The sequence below is a fragment of the Homo sapiens genome, chromosome 3 (genome assembly GCF_000001405.40).
Source record: "Homo sapiens chromosome 3, GRCh38.p14 Primary Assembly".
In the NCBI taxonomy this organism is placed as follows: Eukaryota; Metazoa; Chordata; class Mammalia; order Primates; family Hominidae; genus Homo; species Homo sapiens.
Window position 1 is genome coordinate 21,529,794 of NC_000003.12, and position 24,102 is coordinate 21,553,895.

The 24,102-nt window shown below is 38.1% G+C and overlaps 1 protein-coding gene and 1 long non-coding RNA gene across 20 annotated transcripts in view, besides 2 other annotated features; one reads left to right on the plus strand and one right to left on the minus strand.

The window, feature by feature from the left end:
• Window positions 1-24,102, minus strand: part of ZNF385D (zinc finger protein 385D) — a 960,546-nt gene that overhangs the window by 117,576 nt on the left and 818,868 nt on the right. The window lies entirely within an intron of this gene.
• Window positions 12,996-24,102, plus strand: part of ZNF385D-AS1 (ZNF385D antisense RNA 1) — a 37,171-nt gene continuing 26,064 nt past the window's right edge. Inside the window, exon 1 of the long non-coding RNA NR_046731.1 lies at window positions 12,996-13,202. This is a non-coding gene — a long non-coding RNA (ZNF385D antisense RNA 1). The remainder of the gene's footprint in view (window positions 13,203-24,102) is intronic.
• Window positions 13,564-14,144: an enhancer, noted in NCBI's record as "OCT4-NANOG-H3K27ac-H3K4me1 hESC enhancer chr3:21584849-21585429 (GRCh37/hg19 assembly coordinates)". NCBI's record gives its function as "activates a minimal SCP1, AML or CMV promoter by ChIP-STARR-seq in naive and primed H9 embryonic stem cells {active_cell/tissue: H9 hESC(naive and primed)}" and the evidence as "EXISTENCE:reporter gene assay evidence [ECO:0000049][PMID:30033119]".
• Window positions 17,890-18,714: an enhancer, noted in NCBI's record as "H3K4me1 hESC enhancer chr3:21589175-21589999 (GRCh37/hg19 assembly coordinates)". NCBI's record gives its function as "activates a minimal SCP1, AML or CMV promoter by ChIP-STARR-seq in naive H9 embryonic stem cells {active_cell/tissue: H9 hESC(naive)}" and the evidence as "EXISTENCE:reporter gene assay evidence [ECO:0000049][PMID:30033119]".

Below are 24,102 nucleotides of genomic sequence, written 5' to 3' on the forward strand. Positions count from 1 at the left end.
AATTTTGGCTTTCCTTTCTATGGATTATGTGACCTTGACCAAGTTACTTTTCTCCATATCTCAGTTTCTTCATTTGAAAAATTATTGCAGAAAAAGTGATATGGTTTTAATGTGTGTTCCCAACAAATCTCATGTTGAAATGTGATCCCCAGTGTTAGAGGTGGCACTTAGTGGGAGGTGTTTGGGTCATGGGGGGGGTGAACCCTCATGATTGACTTAGTGCCATCCCCTTGGTGAGGGTGACTTATTACTCTATTAGTTCATGCAAGAGCTGGTTGTTTAAAGGAGGCTGGCACCTCCTCCTCTCTCTCACTTCCTCTCTTGCCATGTGACATGCCCACTCCCCCTTCACCTTTCACCATGACTGCAAACTTCCTGAGCCCCTCGCCAGAAACAAATACTGGCACTATGCTTTATGTACAGTCCTCAGAACTGTAAGCTAAAATAAATGTCTTTTCTTTATAAATTATCCAGCCTCAGGTATTTCTTCACAGCAATGCAAAATGGAGTAACACAACAAGCTCTTCTTTGCTTTGTGAGAATCAAATTAGAGAAGCACAATTTCAGTGCCTTGAGCAAAGTCTACATTTTAGGGAGAAGTACTGGAGTCTCCATCCTGGGTCTTTGATTTACTTACTATATCACATTAGAACATTTTTGTAGAAGGAATAACTTTTCTTTACCAAACTCCCAGATTCATGCTCTTTGGGAGACCTTAACTACTTGCCTCCAATCAGCTTTGGATTAAGCTAATGGGAGGAGAAAATACTAGTAATCTTAGGAAGGTAGGAAGAAACATACTAAGGGTGTTTTCATGATAACTTACAAGAGTTATGTTAAAAGAGACCCTCAGCATGATCAAACAAGTTTTTTTTCGTTGATGTGTCATTCTAAGGAAACTGAGGTTCGAAGTCCTCACTCCAGAGACTACAGGATGCAAAATCTAACAGTACCCATCACTGCTCTATGTCCATCTAAAGGAAAAGAAGAAGGAAGAGAGCACCACCTCTGAGAGAAGCGCAAAGGGAACAATGTCCTGGGGTGTTAGGAGACCAAGAGAATAGCAGAAAAAACAATCCGTGTTTATTTATGCACTTGTTCTTACATCAAATGTTGTTACAATCCATACCATGTTTAAACACTGTGTTAAATCCTAGCGCTGCAGTGGCTAAGAAACCAAAAGAAAAAAAAATTGACCTGAGACCCACACTTGCCAACCACAAGAGTTAAAGAAAACGGTGAATTTTAAAACATTAAGTTCATAATACATGATAGCTATAGATATTACTGCCCAGGAATCTGTTAATGTGATGATACATAGAGCAATCTTGGTACAGATTATGATACTTTTAGGGAATTTCTACACTGTTGCTTAATGCTTTTTTAAAAAAAGGCAAATTAAAACAATGAGATATTATTGTGCACCTATCAGAATGGTCAAAATTCAGAACACTGGCAACATGAAATGCTGGCAAGGATGTGGAGAAACAGGAACTCTCATTCATTGTTGGTAGAAATGTAAAATGCAACAGCCACATTGGAAGACAGTTTGTCAATTTCTTACAAAACTAAACATACTCTTACCGTATAAGGCAGCAATCATGCTCTCTGACATTTACTCAACGAGGTACAAACTTATGTCCAAGAGTAAAAACCCTGCATATATAAATTTATAGCAGCTTTATTCACATGTGCCAAAAATGAGAAACAACCAAGTTGTCCTTCAGTATTTGAATAGAGAAACAAACTGTTACATCCAGCTAATGTAACATTATTCAATGCTAAAAAGTAATGAGCCATCAAGCCATTAAAAGTCATAGATGCATATTACTAAGTCGAAGAAGCCAATCTGAGAAAGCTACATACTGTATGAGTCCAACTTCATGACATTCTGGAAAAGACAAAACTATGAAGATAGTAAAAAGATTACACGTTGCCAAGGGTTAGAGTGGAAGAAAAGATAAAAAGGTGGAACACAGAGAACGTCTAAGGCAATGAAGCTATTCTGTATAATATGGTAACAAATATTATTCTAAATCTGCTCAAACCCATAGAATATACGACACCAATTACGAACCCTAAAGTTAATTGCAGACGTTGGTAATAATGATGTGTCAGTGTAGGTAAATCAATTGAAACAAATGTACCATTCTAGAGGGGAATATTGATAATGGGTAAAGCTACACAGATCTGGGCACAAGGTAAATGGGAAATCTCTGTACCTTCTGCTTAATACTACTGTGAGCTTCAAACTGCTCTAAAAATAAAGTCGGGAGAGAGAAAGAGAGAGAGAGAGAGCAAGCACCAGTCATGGGAGATAATGCACCTCCTTCGGATGTGGTTAGGTCTGCCTGTGATGTCAAGGGCTGCTGCAATCATCTTTCACCCACGAGGGAAGGTTTAGAATTAGGGGAGGAAGAGCAAAAAGATGGGGAGCATTTTGGTCCTTGGTGAGATCATGAGCTGGTGAATTAACCCTGAAACCATCTTACCTTTGGACTTCTTCATTGTTACATAATAAACCCTTATTATTTATGCAACAAAATAGCATTGTAATATATCAGTGTGGGGGAGGGAAGGTACCTGAAAAGATGAATGTGGCCAGGAGAATACAGAGTGATGAATTATATAAATCGCAAACATTTGGTTTATTCAATATCACAATTAGCTGAATATGGATTTCTGATAATTAGATTTCAAGATATTCTTTGAGAATGGAACATTTTAGTTTCCTTCTGGTTGTCTCCAACGTAAATTTCAAAGCCTTATGAAAAATAATTAAAAAGAAAACCATCTGTACCCCATAATTGAAATAAATGCAGGCAGCATTTGTACAAAAGTGTACATATTTCACTTGTCCATAATATAATATGCTGAATAATATTTCCAAAAAAAAAAAAACAGATCTAGTAACTTTTAGGATTATATTCTGTTTCATGTTTTTGTTTATCTCTCACCAATTCATTTTAGCATATATAGAGTTCATTCAGCACTTACTAAATGCCTATGATGGCCAAATGCTATTCTAGGTACTGTTGTATTTAAGAAACACACTTAAGGTAGTAAATCAAAGCATTTTACAAAGACAAATAGCTTCTAAAACTCATCATCTGGCACTCCAAAATATCACTTGCCTCTGATTTTAGACAGTTCATGCAACTGCTTCACACAGGTCCAGAAATCTGAGGGTTAAAGATCTTGTAATTCAAACCCTGGGTGTGTATTCTATGAAGATGGATATATAATCACTGCCATAAATTGACAAGTTATGCATAAAGCTACAGTGACAAACAAGGCCACAAGCCATCACAGGTCCCTGAAATTACTGATGTACTACCAAACAACGAGTGAGTGAAAGAGCAGGTGGCCCTCGCTTTGTAGGCTGCAGCTCTAAATCTTCCCAATGGACTGGGAAATAAGCACTTCACCATTTAACATGAGCAGAGGAAGTCACTTCATCATTGGCCCGTCGAATGAACTGCTGACACAAGAAACGTTTCCCCACTTAGAAAACCACAAGTACTAAGTGATTGCTTCACATTTGGAAAATGCCTTTTATTTTTATTTTTATTTTTGCCCATACTAACTTTCTTATTTGAAAATAAAGGCCAATTCTCTTTGAGAAACTTTTGGTGCACTCAGTATTTGAACTCTAGCAATGTTCCATTAATCCTATAGAACGAAAACCTTTGGTGAATGTCGATGGCATATACATTTAATATATAACTATAGCTGTGCATTTATCATCCATCTATATGACTCAAAATGCCAGCTGTTAGATACCTGAACAGCAATTCAATAGATACCATTTATGAAAAATATTAGGTCAAGCCTGCATTTATTACACAAGATCTTGTGGCTTAGGATTAGAAAGGAAGAGACAGAAAACCTGAAATCAACCTGTCAGTTACAAAGTAAAATCATAAATTGCTCCTAGAATTAATTTATACCATCTATCTATATTTTTAAAAGACTATTTGATGGACATCCATGTTCAAATCCCTACTGTAAGGCAGAGTTAAATTAACCAAAAGGAGAGACTATATTGGCAGAGCCCAGTTAACATTCAATTATATTACTGAAGACAAAAGAGAAATATCAGACCTCTAGCAATCTTTGCCATAGTCACCTAATTTGTGTTTTAGAAAGATGGTAAGTATGAACAATTTTTCTATTTTGATGCCAATATCAAATATGAAGAGGAAAGAAAATTAACACTGAATACTTACTGTGAATCTGCTGCTTTGCTTACAATACCCTTCTTTAATCTTTAGAGCCAGCTTATATGGCAGTATAATCATCTTCATTATACAAGAATTTGAGACTCACAGAAGTTAAAAAAAAAAACTTACTCAAAAATCACACATCTAATAAGTGTTAAGACTAGAATTAGCCTAATCCAAGTCCTTTATCTTTCCATTTCACAAAGCTGGAGCAAATAGTAACCTGGAAAAGAACTCCTTTCTCATCTGAACTTGCATTGTAGACTAGGTGCAAAACTGAAACATTCATCACTATGATTTACCAAGTGAAAACCCATAGATTTGAACAGATTGTTCCATCGACACTCTAAGACGTCTACTGTAGCTGACTTAATATAATCGCCACCACACACACACACCCCAAATACTCAACCAAAGGTGGTTCAGTTCTTCAAACACAAAAAAATTGGAACTAAACTGAACTTTCATCAGTGGCAAATCACTTCCAAGCTGACCGGAAAAGAAGAGAGCTGGAGTAGTGCTTTTACCCATGCTGCTAACTCGGATAAGCACAGCTGGGCTGAGGAGACCTCTTTTCCTAAATTCTGTTGCCAAGCTGAATTTTATGATCTTCACTGGCAGCTGATCAAATGCAAACTCTTAACTTACAGCCAAGTTATCTTACAGCAGCTGTTGGAAAGAAATCATTTAGAATGCAAATCTAGTCCTTAATCTATGGGAAAACTGTTGCCAGTGATGGATGGGTTTTGAGGCAACGGTTCATGAAAGACACCCTGATGTCCTCTGGTATTGTGGAGTAAGAAATATTTAGCTGCCATTTGTGTTTGTTTTCTTTTGAGCAATTGTCCTTATAGGGGTTATTGGAAGTCTATGGAAAGAAAGTCCAGGTGTTTAAAATCTGTCTCAACTCTCTTTTCTACATAAGTAAAACTGAGATCACAAGAAATACTATAGTAAGTTTCAGATGATGTTCTCTTAGTATGTAGGACTTCACTAACTATAGGCTAAATCATCTAAAGAACACAGCAACAGGAATATAATATCTTCTTAGCATTTAGGACTGTACTAACTGTAGGCTAAATCATCTAAAGAACATAACAACAATATAACAACTTACCTAGAATTCTTTGTGATGCCAAGGAAGTAGCAATGTCAGTACCTATCACTGATCCTGCTTCTAAAGAATCATGTTACTCTAGGTATGAATGATCAATTAAAGTTGATAAAGCCTTTTTCTTTTTCCTTTTTATTCATCTAACTGCCAGCTAATGGTGCCCTTCTAGCACACCTAATACATAAAAAATTCACTGATTCTTTCAGTACCTTTGATCCTCCTCTCTTTAGCTGAATGAAGTCTTAGAAAATACTCAGTCCTGGTTATTAGGAAGTTGCTTACTGAAGAAACTGGGTTTTCAGCAACATCTACAAAGATCACATCGCATGGCAACTGCCAGAGTTAAAGCAACAGAAAAATGTACATCTCTATCTGCTCCTGTTTTGTTAGGCATAGAGAATGATTATCATGAAACTTCAAACCAATCTGAAGAATTATCAGAATAAGAATAAGAGGAAATTGCTCTCATGAGTAAAAGATTAGAAAAAGGAAAATATATCCACTTAGCAATTTTTTTTTTCATTCAGCTTGGCTCTTTGGGTAAAGCCGATGAATTTGTCTAGATAATTTAGCTTTGAATATCAGTCTAGAAGCTCTCTTAAACCATGTCACAGATCTAACTAGCCACTTTTACATGTGCCCACTGTTTCACATGAGCTAACCTCCACAAAGGGAAAAACAAAAAGGTATGTCTAGCCACACTTATTTCTAGGTCTTGCTTTCCTCTGATACCATCCCATCGCTAGTCACCCTGAGTTTTCTTAAATACACAACTGCCTATACGACTAATTTGCATGAGTCTGTGGTAGACAGAGTGGGGCTTTAACTGGGATGAAGAAAATATCCTGGATTCCCCACAATCATAACAAGAAGATGGAGCTGGATCTATTATGTTTAATAAATATTCCCCTATATTTTACAAGGTTAGGCACTGCCAAAGCCTTTGATTATCCAAAACTTTCTTAATGATTAAACAGTAACAACTTATTTGGAAAAAAAGTATATGTCTCTTTCGTTTTACTATTTCCCTAGCTGACAATTGGGAATTTATCACCAGGTATTCATCTTATTTGTTGATGAAGTAGGTAATGGAGGACTCTAGCAATATGCTTAGTGCTAAGATAGTAAGAAAAGCCTGGATCCACTATAAAACTAATGTCCATGACCAGAAAAAGTATTATGATGTCAGAAAATGGAGTAAGTTCACAGGAAGAAGACCACATTCCTTTACCAAGAATGAATTGGGGCAAAGATAGCTTCTCCCATTTCTCCTAATGTTGTCTCCATTTATTGTCATGGTGTGTAGGCTTCTATGGTTTGAGTTGGAAAGAGGAGGAAGCCCAGTTTGGGGAGGGCTGAAATATTTTAGAGCTTAAATAAAAGAAGGCTTGGATGTATATAACTGGCAAGCATCATGATATTTATTTGGTCATTAATTTATGCATTTAATTAGTATTTATTAAGCACTATATATGAAGCAATACTCTAATACTTAGATAAAACAGTGAACCAAACAGGCAAAAATTTTTGCCCTTATAGAGCTTACCTTCTAATTGGAGTTGGGCAATATACATAATAAATAATTATGTAGAATATTAAAACGCAATTAGTGCTTAGGAGAAAAACCATCAGGTAAGGAAAGTGGGGATGATGGGGTCTGAATCTTAAATACAGTGGCCAGAGTAAGCATCAAGAGATGACGACACTTGAGTATAGCTTGAAGAAGCAAAGCACGCAGAAATCGGAGGGAAGAGTATTCCAGACAGAGAGAAGAGTCACTGCAAAGGCTGAGAGGAAAGAGTGAGCCTGGTGCACTCAAGGTATAGTAACGACAGAGTCATGACTACAGTAAGGTTAATGTAGCACTTGTCAAGGAAGCAAAATTTCAGGGACACTAAAAAACTAAGTAATCAAGATGAATAACATTTTAATGTTATAGCTTAAAAAATTAAAATCAATGCAAAACAGAAATTCATGGTGAACAAAATATCAACTTTTTTTTTTTTTTTTTTTTTTTTATGAGATGGAGTCTCGCTGTGTCACCCACGCTGGAGTGCAGTGGCGTGATCTCAGCTCACTGCAACCTCCGCCTCCTGGGTCCAAGCGATTCTCCTGCCTCAGCCTCCCAAGTAGCTGGGATTACAGGTGCCTGCCACCACACCTGGCTATTTTTTGTATTTTTAGTAGAGACGGGGTTTTATCATGTTGGCCAGGCTGGTCTTGAACTCTTGACCTCAGGTGATTCACCTGCCTCGGGTTACAGGCATCTGTAATCACCTGCTGGGATTACAGGTGTGAGCCACCACGCCCGGCCCAACATTTTTTAAAAAGACACGATGTGACCCTGTGCTAGTACAACCCTGTCTTACTCACCTGATTATAATAAAATTTTCTTTACGAAAGCAGGCAGCTAGCTCATGGGCCACAGCTTGCTAATTTTATCATTTAAATATTTATTAAAATATTATTTGTCTAGATTACTGAGTTTTTCTAGAACCCTCTTAAATTTCACACCCAAGATCAGTGCCTCACATAGTCTTGGACCTGGCCAGGAGGCCAGTGAGGCCGAAAAGGAGTGAGTGAGGTGGGCAGTGGGAGAGGATGAAGCACAAAAGTCTCCCAGAGGCCATGTTTCATAGAGCTGCGTGGCCTATGAAATCTAAGGATTTTGCCTTTTAATCTAAGTGAAATGCAGCACCATTAGAAGATTTTCAACAGAAAAGCCACCTGCTCTTGGCTTATATTTTTAAAATGATGAACACAGGGAGTAGAAGCAGGGAGAATGATTAAGAATTTTACAATAATACAGATGAGAGACAATGGTGGCTTGGACCAAAGGGGTGGCATGAAGATGGTGAGAAGCAGTCAGATTCTGGATATATTTTGGAGGTATATGTAACATTCTGTAAGATTGAATCTAGTGTGTGAAATAGGAGTAAGAATGACTCCAATATGTTTAGCCAGTGGAACCAGAGGGATGGAGTTGCCATCATAAGAGGAATGTTCTCTGGTTTTGGAGGACTGAGATGCGGCCTTTGGTTTTGGAAGTTTTAGGTATGAGGAATCTATTAGGTAAACAAGTGCAGATATTGAGTGAGCAGGCAAATATCTGAGTATGGAGTTGAGGGAGAGAATCAGCTGGAGATACAAATATGGGGGTCATCTGGAAGTCTGTATTGATAACTTACTCCCTTCCCTCCATTTCCAGATACAGAAACATTTCTTCTGTGAAGCAGAATTGGAAACCCTTTTGAGAGAATATATCTCTCTTCATGAGATAGGATAGGTTGTGTGATATGTTAACTTTCACTCTTTTACACTCTTCAGTGACCTAGGAGTTTGTTTAAAAACCAAAGAAACTTGGTTCTGTACATAAAATAACTTCAGTGGAATCTCTGCTTCCACTGAGGTTTTAATTCTTGGCATTTTTTATTTTAAAGATTAGCAACTTGTTTCAAGTTAGAGGAGATGGCAGGGTCAAAATTTTAGAAACTGGATCCCACCACCACTGTGTTACTTCCTAAACCTGCATCAAATGTTCTGCCAACATGTAATGTGCCAATAGAATTATACGGTGTGAACTGCATATCTCAGTATCTCCACAGGGAAAAAACTGTGGTTGGGGCATGGAGGGGGGAAAGGGAAACTCTTCTTTAAGTTATTTATGTAAACTAAAGATTTATCATTTCATATTACACTGTCTACAATAAGTACATAAATACATTTTTCAGCCAATCTGAGTGTTTTATAAATATACAAATATTGCCACTTATGTTGGGGTGATTCAAAGTCAAGCATTAGCTCATACACTGTGGCTAAAGTTTAAAAGTTCTGTTTCATGTATAAAAAACCATACTGTGGGCTAAAATGACAAGTTCCTTGTGGTAAACCATTTGACTAGTCTCTCTGGTCTGAGAAGAGATGAACTAGTTTTCAGCTAATACGGAACAAAGGGAGTGGGTGCAGCAAAATATTCAAGTTAATTTTTAAACCTGCATAATAATAATGCAACCCTTGACAAACCTGATCAACTCCTATCCCAGGAAGATTCAAGACCACAGAGACATCAGTGAGCCAGTCTGAATGTTTAGTTCAGCTTTTCAAAACACTGAATGCCTATTCAGTGCTGTGTGGCTTCTACATTTCTACATAGATCACTTTCTCATTAATTGATGCCATTTTGCCCTGGTTTTGTTTCACGGATTAAATTAAGAACCAATAATATCTAAATGCTGGTATCAAATAAAAACACAGAACTCTCTGTTGGCCTATTTCAATCAAAAATAGATATATATCACTGTCATAGGCAGTTCAACCATAAAAGAAATTTTAATTTTTGTAATTAGGCCTTTTAATAGAAGGACATGACTTCTAATTAAATCCACATTATTCAGTAATTTCATATGTTAGTTTGTTTTCTTTATGCTTTGTACTCTAAATGTTAAAATGATTCTCTAAATTATTGTTTCAGATTTTATAAAGTGATAAAAATACAACAAAATACAAGAAAGAGAAAAATAGTTTCTTTATGGAATACACAAAGAATATATTAAATGTTTTTAAAAATCATATATTTATTTTAAATATTTTATGAAACCAATAAATGTTCTACCATGATAATGTTTTATCATTGTTATAGTAACTTTTCTGATAATGCTACGGTCTTAAGAAATATGGGTTGGCTTGGAGAAATAAGAAATATTTTTACTACAAACACAGCATAAGAGTAATGCTGATTTTGAGCAATTGATTTTAAAATATTTACTTCTCTATGTCTTTTTAAACCATGAAGATAGCTAGTTAGTTTTACTTAAAATAAGATGAAAATTAAAGATACATATTCCCTAGCCCAAGCCAAAACATAAAACAAAAACCTAACTTAAGAGACCATTAAAAATAAACAAAATTAGACTTGCAAACGTTCTAGTAATACATAGGCTACACTGCTTTTTACAGAATTACTGAATATTCATCGAAGTATAATTCATATGCATTTAGTTAGAAGCTGGAGAAAGCTTACTATGATAATAAAAATACAATAGATTATAAGCTCCTTTTTTTGAATTAAATAGGCAAAAGCAGAATAATAACAATATAGCACAAACAATCAAGCAAATTTTGAGAGCTATTTTGGTAGAATATTTTATATGAGAGAGAAGATAGAGTCAAAGATAGACATGACAACTCAATGAGACCTAAATGTAAATGATAAAACCATCGACAAAAGCCTTGAAGGAAAATGCTTTTCCCCTCGGGGGATGATTTGTACTGGCCTCCAGGTGTAATATTATGTGCACTGATGAGCTGATCAACGGAACAGAACTTCTACCCAGCTGTAATCAAGAGTGATTGATGGTTGGGACGAAAAAAGTTGATTATCATGACAAGTTCGCTGATGCAGAGAAAATAAGCTCTGCTTGGGAAATGGATAAAACCTGTTCAGAGACTACCTTCTGAAAACTTATTTATAAAGGAATCTAAGAGAAGGTTAAAAGTTGTGAAGATGAACCTGATGTCCCGATAAACCTGATAAGAATAATTTGCCATACGTCAATCTCCACAGATTTCGTAAACAAGAAATTTAAAAGCTCATTTATGCCCAATAAAGAGTAACCACATACCCTGAATGTTACTTATGTGATTATGAAAAGATCTACTTCTCGAAGTACCACTGAAAATCACATGTACACAGAGAATTAAACTTTCATGGCATATCTTGCCTCCGTTTCTCTTCAACTCCCTCCTCACGAGGTAAGACTTCCCCAAACGACTGCAATCTTTACCACTATCAGATTCAATTTATATCAAAACACAGATTTGGACTGAGACAACAGATCCCAGAGGCAGTATTTTGCATTTAAAATGAGGTTTGGTAGGCTTCATAAAAGGTGAATCTGGGCCAGTGTTGGGTGTAAGTACAGTGTTCTAATATAGTAGTACCTGGATTGTGCAAAGATCTGTAGAATATGAAAGAATACATTCATCTTTTCAAATTCTGATAAGTCATCTAAGAAATTCTAGCAACGTAATCCAAATGCAGTGTGTAATTTATGCATGCCTGGTACAATTTCATTCCCCTTAATTAGAGAATAAAACCAAATCACCACTCTTAAACCAATCACCATAAGAAACTTTAGTGTGAAGAAGGTTAAAAATGAATGGGTGCTACACAGATTTGGGGGCAGAAGGTAAATGGGAAATCTCTGTACCTTCTGCTTAATACTACTGTGAGCCTCAAACTGCTCTAAAAATAAAGTTCATTTTTTCTACATAGACATTTTTGGCCATGGAGACACTTGAGAAAGGTAAATTATTTCATCACAATTACTCTAGTTAATACAGAGGATAGGGCTCAGTAAAAATTAGACAACAACAAATAGCAACTGTTAGGAAGGGAAGGATACGAATGGCCACAAAACCCCAAATTACACAGGAATAGACATTAATATGAGTTACCTTTTCTTAAATTTCTTTGCTCATCTGACCAGGAACAAACCCTCCTACTGTCCTAGTTTTCAGGACTAGGATGAAACTGATTATTTATGATATGCTGAAATAAATTATAACAAAATATAACAAAAAAAGCAAGAGTCTTGATAAACAGGAACTAGGATTAATGAAATGGAATGAGCAAATTTTATCTTTGAGATTTTCAATTATTGGTGACCACTAATCTAGTTTCTACTTTTGGTTTCTATAAGTTTTGTTAGTGCCTACTAATACTTTAAGAAGTGTATACAGTTGTAAAAAGAGATACAAAAAAACTGATTAAAATTTTAATAGATATGTATATCCAGCAATTTGTGGGCAACTGGTTTTCATCAAGGATTTTATTCCATAGCTAATAAAGATTTCATCAGCGCTGGTGCACTCTGAAATATTCACAATCATAAAGCTAAAATTTGGGGATGTTTGACAATAGTAATTTTTTTTCAAATAAACTAAAACTCGGAGGCTTCTACAAAACAAGCTTTCAGAATCATAAGAACAAGTTTCTAGGTCATGCTCAAGTCTAATTGCACTTATTTACTTCCCTTTAAAAATATGTGAATTTTCATGTTTAGGTTTCAGAGAATCAGTTACTTAGGATATGAATCCTGCATTGTGGAGAGAGTAGTCACTGTGGAAAAGGAAGCCTAAACTTCATTTTTATCAAAATGCAGAAATTATGAAACTTAAACCATCTTAGAGATTCCTGGGTTTTTCTTCTCTTTCTTTTTTTTTTTTTCCCAGAGATGATGAGGTGTCAGCCTGCTGCCCAGGCTGGAGAGCGGTGGTGTGATCAGTACCCATTGCAACCTCGAACCGCTGGGCTCAAGCAATCCTCAAACCTCTGCTTCTCAAGTAGCTAGGACTACAGGTGCGCACCACCATGCCCGGCTAATTTTTTAAGATTTTTGGAGAGATAGTCTTGCTGTGTTGCCCAGGCTGCTCTCAATCCCTTGGCCTGCCAGTGATCCTCTTACTTCCACCTCCTCAAGCACTGGGATTACAGGTGTGTGCCACTGAAACAGCCAGGTGAGGGGGGTACCCTGGACAAACTCTAATCAGCCTGCCCACTGAGGTGTAGCCTCAGGAAGTTCAATAGGGAGGAGCCTGGCCCCTCCTCTTCCTGTGTGGAACCTGCGATTTCAAGGGCCGACAGGAAGCCTCGATCGGGGAACTCTGACCTTGCGGAGGAAACTTGTTTCCCTTTTTTTCTTCCCGCCGACTTTCACTCGATAAAACCCTGCTTTATTCACCCTTTAAACCTTCTCCAAACCTAAATTTTCCTGGCCTTGGGACGGACAAGAACCCAGTCTTCAGATGAAGGAAGGAAAAGTCCTGCAACATTCTTGGCGTGCAACGTTGGGGCTCTTGAAGAGGTGAGTGAAAGGGGGACTCAAAACCTCTCACTGTTGGCCGGGCGCGGTGGCTGATGCCTGTAATTCCAGCACTTTGGGAGGCCAAGGCGAGCGGATCACGTGAGGTCAGGAGTTTGAGACCAGCCTGGCCAACATGGTGAAACCCCTCTCTAGTAAAAATACAAAAATAAGCCGGTGTGGTGGCGCGCGCCTGTAATCTCAGCTACACAGGGGGCTGAGGCAGGAGAATCACTTGAAGCTGGCTGGGAGGCGGAGGTTTTAGTGAGCCAAGATCACGCCACTCTACTCCAGCCTGCGCGACAAGAGCGGGACTATCTCGGAAAACCGCTCACCCTTGTTTCTAAGACTTTTCATCCTGCAACTTCTGAGCATATGGGAGACCGCTCCCCACCCCTTGTCGCTCCTGGGGGTCGGGGGCCTTTTCACGGTCTTTTCCTTTTTCCAGACGGACTAGCGAGCAGCAGTTCCCAGCCGCTCCCCACTCCTTGCGGGGCTGGGATGCATGGCCTAAGGGTCCCGCACAGCCGGTTGGCTGGTTCCCAGCCACAAGCGTCTGCAGCCTTCCCCTTCCCCACCCAAGGGGTTCTACTCCATCCGACAGTAATTAAGCTTTAACTTTTCTTATGCAACTGGTGGAGGAAACAGTTGCATAAGAATAAGAGGTTCTTCCCCAGGCATTCTTAAACTGTTGATTTTCTTTCCCCTTCTGTGTCCTGTCAGCAAGTTAACTTTTAAAGTTTCTTTTTTTCTTTCTTTCTAGAAGATGTTGTATTAAGGTAGGCCCCCCAGCCCCGCAGCTATCGCTGTTTATATTTTCTGCAAAGTTTTGGTTGTGAAATGAAGCCTCCATGTTGTTTTACATCCTGAGGGCATGGCTTGTAACTGGTGGCAAGGCTTTGTTTAGCAATCCTGCCTTAGGAAGTAAGTTTCTTTCTGGTTTGATATCTGCATGTTTTCCTAGCCCTGTTTCTTAAAGGACCCCACCTAGCGACTGGATTTTTTTGTGTGTGTGTAGTGTGTGATGTCCGTAAAAAGAGTTCTAATTAATTTGTCCTAAAGAAAGACAAGCACTTGGATCTAATATTTTTTAAAGGGCAGATAAAATCTGTGGTACCTTTCAGTTCACGTGGCTTTAATCTTTAAGAAATAAAAACAGCCCTAAAGACTTAGTAAAATGCAGGTCAGATGCAAGTGTTTTGAGGTTAAACTGCTTGTTGGGTTTTGAGAACTATTTGCTTTGCCAGCTTCGCAATTGGTAAGGCCTGGGGACATATGGAACTAACCACAGACTTGACTAAGAAGGCAAAACGTGGCTGCAGTTAGCACACAATTAAGGCAACTTATCAAGTTTTCCCTTAAAGTTAAAAATTGCTAGGAGTTTATCGACATTACTAGAAATGGATTTGCATGCAAGGTGTGTAGGAACAGTAAAATGTGTTTTGTGTTTTTTTTAGTGAAAGGTTATAAGAAGGTGTGGAAATGTAAACTTTCGCCTAGGGTTACAGGATTGTTTTGAGTTAGGAAAAAGCTGAAGGTTCAAAGAAGTGTTGGAAAAATTCTGGAAATTAATCTTGAAAAAGAGGTTCTCTGTGTGAACATATTGACTGAATTCAAAAAAAGGTATTATGTGGTTTTTCTGCAAATTGAGCATTGAAATACAATCAGAAGGTATTCTTAAAATGCTAATCTGGTCTTCGGCAAAATTTATAAAGATTCATGAAAGGTTTTTGCTTCTTTAAAATTTCTGAGTCATCATTTTGGCAAAATAAATAACTTTTTGGCAATCTGGAATTCTGTTTCATAATATTAAGTGTTTTAGACCTCGAACATTTAGCAGCCTAACCAAAATCAAACTTCAGTTTCAAAATTGTCTTCCCTGGCACCTGGCTTTGCGAATACTTCAGAGGGCCCCTGAAGTGTCCAGAAAAGAGAGGCAAACAGGATTATTTGACGTGTTCACGTATACAGGATTGCCAAAATGATGTTCAATCTTCCTTAGGTTATATCTTGGTGAATAATGCTAACATATGTTCGAAAATTGTATGGGATTTCTAAAACTAATGGCTAAGTATATGCCATCAATCATAATGAAGGTTGTTAAGTTATTGTAAACCATAGAGATAACTAAACTTCTTTCCCTGTTGTGTTTCTAACTGTAACTACCCTGGATATTTTGCTATTCACAGACAATTTTTGTCTTGTTTTAATCCTTTTCAAAGATGGTTTAAAATGAGCTATAGAACTTTAACAGGTGCTCTCAAATACAGACTTGTGATAACTTTAGAGATTGTAACATTGGAATAAAGGAAAATGTACAAGACTCATGAAGAGCTGAAATGCTCGTGAATATCAAGCAAAGCAAGAGTTTACTAAATGGACTGAACTCAAAGCAGAAGCAACTTTTTTGACTTTTGCCTGGAATATTGCTGATCTATGTTCTGTTTTTCAGAGTCAAGGAAACTTATTTTGAACTATTTAAAGTTTTTTAATAAATAAGGTATACACTCCTGTGATCAGAATTTGGAGCATGTTTGTTTCCCTCTGCCTGGCTCCTCTAGAATTTGGAAACTATGAGTATTCTTATGGCAATATAGTTGTTTGGATGACAGCAATAAAAATCCATTTTTCTTTTGCATTAGAACACAATTGGAAAAAAACTGTTATTTTATCAAGACTTTGACTGGAAGGGTATGCTTCCCTATAAGGAGTCAAGTTCGACTTACAGAGCCGATAAAAGCTCCATGGGAGACTGGCCTGAGACCCTCCTCTACACAGTCCCTAATCAGGGTTCCTGACTTGTGTTCAGTAAAGAGTGTCACTTTCTAACAGGTCTAGGAACTCCAAGTTTATCTTGGGACCTCAAGAGGAGAGGATCACCCAGCTCACAGGTTTTTGAGGATGCAAACCCATGGTTGGGCTGGGCTTTAAAAGGTCTTATCTGAGATTCCTTGTGGAACAAACTTCCATCAAAGCCAATACAAAAGGCCTTTGTAGAAATAATTATTCTTGCTGTACTTTATGCCAATAATCAAGCCAAGTCTATTTTGCAAACTACTCAGTCCTATCATATTTTTTTTTTGGTAACAAAATTGAGGACTGGAAGGAGAAATTATGTCCCAAAACTCATCAAACTTACCATACATCTGTCATTAAATTTGAAACTCATTAGTTGTTTTTAAGTTTTTGCCTACATTTTACACTAACCCTGCTTGTTCCTGTGACCCTACCAGCAATCTCTGGCTGCAGCTCAGAAAGAACTAACAGGATGAGTAATGTAGGAATCCGGATTGATACTCTAGTTCTGAGCAATTATCCTGCAAATCCTATCCGGTGATGGAATAAATAGTGTGCCCATCACCCAGAGGTTTCCTTTTGGGAAAGTAAGACCAAGGGAACTAACCAAAGCCAAGCACCATTCACCCAAATCCCAGCAAGCCTAACTATAGCCAGCAGTTAGATGGGTATGTCACAAGACATCCTTTCCTCTCCCTTGTTGGAGGAGGACTCAGTTCCACAGTTTCACCTTAGATTTGGCTTATGATAAGGAGTCCATGCAACCCCCCTGAGACATATTTTTGTCCCAGACTCAATTCCAAGCTTTAGGTCAAAGCTCTAGGAAAGAGAACTGGATCTAAGGGATCCAGAGGCAAGCAGAGGTTAAAAGGCACAGCTTAGGTGAGTGTGGCTGATTCCTGCCATTTAAGCCAGCCGCAAGCTTCCTGTTTCATGGATAAAGGCCACGTTAATATCCATGGCATAAATGAGGTCTAGGGAACTCCAAGGCTACTGGCAGTAGGTGGGAAAGAGACATAGGTGAGAGTGGATAATTCCTATTCTCTAGCCCCCCCCGCTTCATGGGTTCAAGTCACTTTTGCACTCACGGTGGTGCCTGCCAAAGTCGCTGGAGCTCGTGGATGCAAGGACAGAAGAGGGAAAGTGGACACTCTTCCCTCTCTGCCCTACATACCCTGGGTATCTGATAGGAAGAGAAGGGAACCAGGGACACTTGCTCCCCTCTTTCTAAATGGGTAGCCATTCATCTTCTGCCTGTATCCCTTTAGAATGCATGCTGAAACCCTGGGACTCCTTTGAAAAATGCCTTTTTATTCCTTTCTCCTCGGATCCTCTCTTCACTGATATGTAATTGTGTCTCTGTACTATGGGAGACTCCCCTCAGATGAAGCCTCCAAACTGGAAAGAGTTAATTTCCCAACCCTTAAACTGGTTGGTTTAGGATTGGGCTCAGGAGAAGGGAACCCAGAAGCCCAACCTGCCAGCAAAAGCATAGTTTTTTAACCAGTCGGGCTTTTGGCCTCCCTCTCCCTGTGCAAACTGGTAAAAGGCCTTGGAATTTTTTAGCTGTTCTTACCCCTCCCCTTGTTTCATTTAAATACATGTTTTCTAATAACCCAGTTTGTCTGTTCTTGCCTTCAGGACATCAAACTCCAAACAGTCATTCAACCAGAGCGTCTGACGATAGCCCCTTCTGCTGGGACCCCTTAGGCCTCTAGGGAAGCTCTGACTGCCGCTTCCCCAAAATAGCGCCTCCTGTTAGCAGAAAGCAGTTAAGATCAGTCTTCGTTCTTATTCTAAGGGCAGTTAGATGTACTTTTTGTTTTGTTTTGTTTTTTTTTTTTTGAGACAAGAGTCTCGCTCTGTCTCCCAGGCTGGAGTGCAGTGGCATGATCTCAGCTCACTGCAACCTCTGCCTTCCAGGTTCAAGCGATTCTCCTGCCTCAGCCTCCCGAGTAGCTGGGACTACAGGCACCCGCCACCATGCCCGGCTAATTTTTGTATTTTTAGTAGAAACGGGGCTTCTCCATATTGGTCAGGCTGGTCTTCTGACCTCAGGTGGTCCACCCCCCTTGGCCTCGCAAAGTGCTGGGATTACAGGTGTGAGCCAATGCACCCGGCCACACGTACTTCTTTAGATGGAGGAATGAGACAGCCAGGTGGGAGGGGGTCCCTGGAGAAACTCCAACCAGCCTGTCCACTGAGCTGTAACCTCGGGAAGTTTGTAGTGGGGAGGAGCCTGGCCCCTCCTCTTCCCGTGTGAAACCTGGGATTAGAAGGGTGGTGGGAAGCGCTCTAACAGGGGACTCTGGCCTTGCAGAGGAGCCCCATTTCTCTTTTCACCCAATAAAACCCTGCTTTACTCACCCTTTACGCCATTTGGGAGCCTAAATTTTCGTGGCGGTGATATGGACAAGAACCCAGTCTTTAACTGAACTAGGGAAATATGCTGCAACACCACCACACCTGGCTGATACTGTTTCTACCTTCATTTCCTTGTCACAGCAATGAGGAAAAATGTTTCTGGTTTTGAGTGCTTCTTTCATTTATTCATGCAACATTGATATCTAAGATTTTTAGAGCCTTCCTAGCATTAATGCCTTCTTGCCTCATTTTCTGGGAACCCATGGAAAACTTTTAGTTTGTTTAATTGGAAATATATCTCTTGCTTCACTACTGCATTTTATCTTCCTCCTCATATTCTGTGCTTCCAGTTTTACCCATGCTTAATCCTCTTCTCAAACTCTTTGCATTTAATGAAATAGACTCTCAACACAGATTCTCCTGTTCCCTTCCATACTTACGGTATTAGTAATGTCCTTTAAGTGGCTCTCAATTTTTAAATATGTTTCTATATCCCAGCAATTCCTGAACATGCTACTGATATCCACCTTGAATAACTTCTGTATTGTGTGCAGAACTTAAGTGACTGATGGTCTTAGTTGAAAACTATCAGCTGATGTCAAGGCAAGTCTCAAAATAAATTTCTCCTAGGGCATGTCCCCTGATATCATACATAAAAACATTATGTTAGGGAACTTAGGAGCCCTATTTCTTGTCCACCTAGCTGTTTCAGTAGCCTATTGCCCTTGAAAAAGTCAACTAAATATTTTGGTCTTTGGTTTCTCAACCTATACAATGTACAAATAGACATCACTATGGTTTGTATGATTTTATATCAAATACAAAACAATTTATGAGTTGTTCATAATACTCTATAGAAATGTAAATATCCCCTTGTTTATTGGAGGTTATGAATGTATCTACTGGTCACATGTAAAGTCAACTTTGCCTTTTTAGATATTCAAGGTCAGATTTTCCATGTCTAAGAGAAGTTGATAGAAAAAATGAATATTATTACTTTGTAAAGAAACCCAGATAAATACAAACTTAATAAAGATTTCTCCTTTCTTAGTCTCTTCCTCATTTCATCCTCAGATGAAACTCTGGAGGATCAAAGCCTGATTCGAAGAGTCCTGAAATGACCTAATATTGGGGTTTTATTTTTAAAAGCCTGCCAAAGAAGCACACTGCTTAGGTAGATTCCCGTGCTCTTGGCTGGCTCATTTTCTCTTGAAATCCCTAGCAGCTAAACCCAGTATTTTTTGCTCTGTCCTTCTGTTCAGGTTTTGTTATCTGAGAATTCCTCACAGAGTTGGGGGTTCCACTCAAGAGTTAGGAACTAGCAAGGTTGTGAGATAAAATGTGTCCCAAATGCCAACTCAGAGTATAAGCCCTTCAAAAAAGAGCTCCCAGTCACTTGTTTCAAACATAGTGACAACCTATAGGCCATCACCACACTCTCCAGAGCCAGCTTTTCACACAGGGTTGACCTGACAGCCCAACTGAAACTCATCAGGTTCTCAGATGTGTCTCTTCTTTCACACAAGCCGAATGGCCCTGTCAAAGGACAGCTTTTGAAGAAGAAAAAGGACCCAGTGGGAAGGCCATGGTGCTCAGGCCAAAGCTCAAATAACTCTGTGAGTCTTGGAGACTAACACAGGACACTCTCTTATGAAAGAGATGTTTCAAAGCTGCCTGAAAATTTAATTTATAAGTGTGTCCCTCAGAAGATCCTTTGGGATGCAGCGGCAACAACATACTTAAAGAGGTTGATAGCTTTTAATAGACACAGTTTTGACAGGGACAATTTGTCCCTGCATTTTTTAAAAGGAAATCTTTAGAAAATTGCAACTGAGGCCCTCAAAATGGAATTTATAATTTGAGAGAGCTGAATCCTAACCACTAGACCACGAGGGACCATCAAAATGTATAATTTGAGACAAAATATGCAGCTTAAAAACGTAATAGATGCAGTAATTCTCTTTTCCTTTATAAAATTCAAGCATACTTATAAAGAAAATTTGGAAAGTAAAGAAGTAAAAGAATAGTTGACCCCAATACAACCATTATTGGTTTTTGTTTTTCCCACAGCTAAACAGCATTTCCTTTAAACATCAATCCTGTGAATAATACTGATAAGTATTAAGATATATTAAGACATGATTTTAAGAAATTTTAATTATCTAATTTGGTCACTGGAAGCCTAATTTGGTTACTAGGGAGGAAAAAATACTCCTATCAACATCATCATTATATTGACACACTGGTAATGGATGTTAAGACTAAGAGATATGAATTAAATTCAGACACACAGCTTAGTTTTACTACATTTTTATGTTCTAAAATGTGGAAAAATTATATATATTTTTTAGACAGAGTCTCACTCTGTTGCCCAGGCTGGAGTGCAGTGGTGTGATCTTGGCTTACTGCAACCTCCGCCTGCCAGGTTCAAGTGATTCTCCCGCCTCAGCCTCCTTAGTAGCTGGGATTGCAGGCGCGTGCCACCATGCCCAACTAATTTTTGCATTTTTAACAGAGACAGAGTTTCACCATGTTGGTCAGGCTGGTCTCGAATTCCTGACCTCGTGATCCACCTGCCCCTGCCTCCCAAAGTGCTGGGATTACAGTCGTGCGCCACCACTCCCAGCTGATCTCTATTTTATAATACCATTAGAAAATATATCTCAATATATTGTAATGATACCAATGATCTACTTTTGGAGGGCTATCAGGCCTTCAAGCAATGTTATGCTCTCATGAGGTTTCTTCCCTTCTGATTTATCAAACAGTTCCCCAACATAATGAATGCTTGACAGTCCTGAATCATTAAGGACATGTTGTTACTTTATTATAGTTCAATAATATGAATTTCTGTTTACACTTTTGACATGTTTATGCTTGAATTGTTGCGTGTGTCTGAATATGAATAATACCATGTAAGAGAACTCATGAGTTCTTATGAGTGAGTTCTAGCTGCTGAATGGCTTTCCATAGCAGCTGTAACTCCTTCCAGTTAGTTCCATGAGGTAAGAAACCTTCAGGTCTTCTCTCTAGGACAGGCTGACTAAGCAGGAAACACATAGATCTTCCTCCATGCCATTGTAGTAACAACCATTGAAACTTCAGAATGGACTTGCTGCCCTCCCGTGACCAGATGAAGCACAAACAGCAGAGACATGAACATTGTCCTTAGCCAGCTAATGACCACATGGCCTTGTACAAATCTATACTCTCTACATCTCAGCTTTTGCAGGTGAAATTAGGAGTATGTCTCTTCTACCTCTAAAGTTTTATGAAATTCTATTGTTAGGAAGTTAACTGTAATAACACTTAGATGCTACAATCTTATATATCCTTAGTTTGGAATTTGAGATCTTATTTCCTATTCTATAGTGAATCATTGAGTATCCATTCTCTACTTCACTTAATAAGCTTACATCTTGTTGGCCCTCATGTAGTCTTTCAAAGGCACATTACTAATTTGCCTAGGTCACATGGTAATTTATGCTTATTTTAAGATGCTGATAAAATAATTGGACAAATTACAACCCTTCAGTCTTTAATTGGAAGGTTTCCACATAACCCCATGTATGTTTCATATGAATGTCAGGAGATTTGTCAGGAAAAAACCTACACCAGGAAAAGGTAATCTGATTAAAAATGCAAGCAATATTAATTTATGACATTTTAAAAGTTATCTGCAGGGCCAAAAATAAACTGTACTATAAAGGAAACAGTTATGGCAAAATACCAAATGACACAGTTTATGATAGGAAGGGTTAAAAAAATATATAAAAGTTTAGAGGGAAAGGAAATTGAATTTTCATGATACAAAGATGAAAAGAACTACAAACTATTATTTTCATTGGACGGGGAAGAAGCTTTGAAATGTAAAAAGGTTCATAAGGCAAAACTACTTTCCTATGTGATAGAGGATTCAACCAAGCATACAACTGAATTACAATGTTATTTTTCTAGAAAGATTCTAGGTTTAAAAATGGAAACAGAAAGATAAATTCCAGATTTACCTGGAAACAACAAAAGGGCTGTCGCATTGGGCTTAGAAAGCCTTTTCTTGAGTTTAAAATGATCTAATATGTATGTATATTTTGATTTTGGTTATTTAAATAGAGATAATTTTCTTACATATGGATCAATTGATAAATCCAATCAATCTTGACATTTGGTGTCTAAATATTTTGTAAAATTGGTACTTATGGACATGGCTGGTCAATAAGTAAACAAAGTTAACATTTCCAGTACATGAGTTTCTTTTATTCACATATAATGATACAAAGACATTTCTTAAATTTCTAAGAGAGTTTCTACTCTTGTATTTCAATTCTGCAATGATTGTTTGGTTTGTAAAACATAATTTAAAGGTTGGTATGTCATTTATAAAAACATTAGATCTTCTATTGAAAAATAAAACTACAGTGTTTAAAATTTGCACTGAATAGTGAATGATATTCCAGGCTGAAAACAATAGAAAGTATAAGGGCAATTTATTCATATGTGTCAGCTTATATAGACCAAAGAAACTGCAATGAGTTATTTGATAGGGTCATGAAATTCAGTTCAAACCTAAGTCAAACATTCAAATAAAATGGCGGTATCTGTGGTAGACAGAATAATGGCTTCCTAATGCTGTTTAAATCATAATCCCAGGAAAATATGAATATGTTACATTACATGACAAAGGGGAATTAGGTTAGCAGATAAAAATAAAGTTGTTAATCAGCTGACTTTAAAATAAGGAAATTATCCTGAATTACCCAGGTTGGCCCTTTGTGATCACAAGGGTCTGTGAATGTGGAAGAGGGAGGCAGAAGAGTGAGGCAATGATTACACGTGGGACAAACTGAGATGGCCCTTGCTTTTTTTGAAGATGAAATGGGGTCTGGCCCTTGCTGTTTTTGAAGATGAAATGGGGTCACAAGTCAAGGAATGCAGGCAACTTCTAGAAGCTGAAAAAGGCAAGCAACTGGATTCTCCCCTGGAACCTGCAGAAATAACATGAGCCTGTAGAAAGAACATAACCTTGCAGACAACCTGACTTTATCCTAGTGAGACCCATTTCAGACTTCTCACCTTCAGAATGGTAAAGTAATAGACATATCTCAGAAATATTGCAATTTGGTTCCAGATGACCACAGTAAAGCAAGTATCACAGTAATGTTAGTCATGTGAATTTTCTCATTTTGCAATGCATATAAAAGTTGTTTATACCATACTTTATTAACTGTGCAATAATATTATGTCTAAAAATACAATGTATATACTTTAATTTTAAAATATGCTATTGCTGAAAAATGCTAACAACGTGAACCTTCAGCAAGACATAATGTTTTTGCTGGTGGAGGGTCTTGCCTCAGTGTAGATAGCTATTGGCTGATCATAGTGTTGGTGGTTTCAGGTTGAGAAAGCTGTGGCAATTTCTGAAAATAAGACAACAGTGAAGTTTGTTGCATCTAGAACTCTTTTCACAAAATATTTCTCTTTAGCATAAAATGCTGTTTGATAGCATTTTATACACACTAGTACTGCTTTCAAAATTGGGGTCAATCCTCCCAAAGCCTGCCACTGCTCTGTCAATTAGGTTTATATAATACTCTAAATTCTTTGTTGTCATTTCAACAGCGTTCACAGCATCTTCATCAGCAGTAGATTCCATCTCAAGAAACGACTTCCTTAGCTCATTCAAAAGAAGCATCTCCTCCATGAAAGGAGGAGGTTATCTGAGATTTCATCAATTCAATCACAG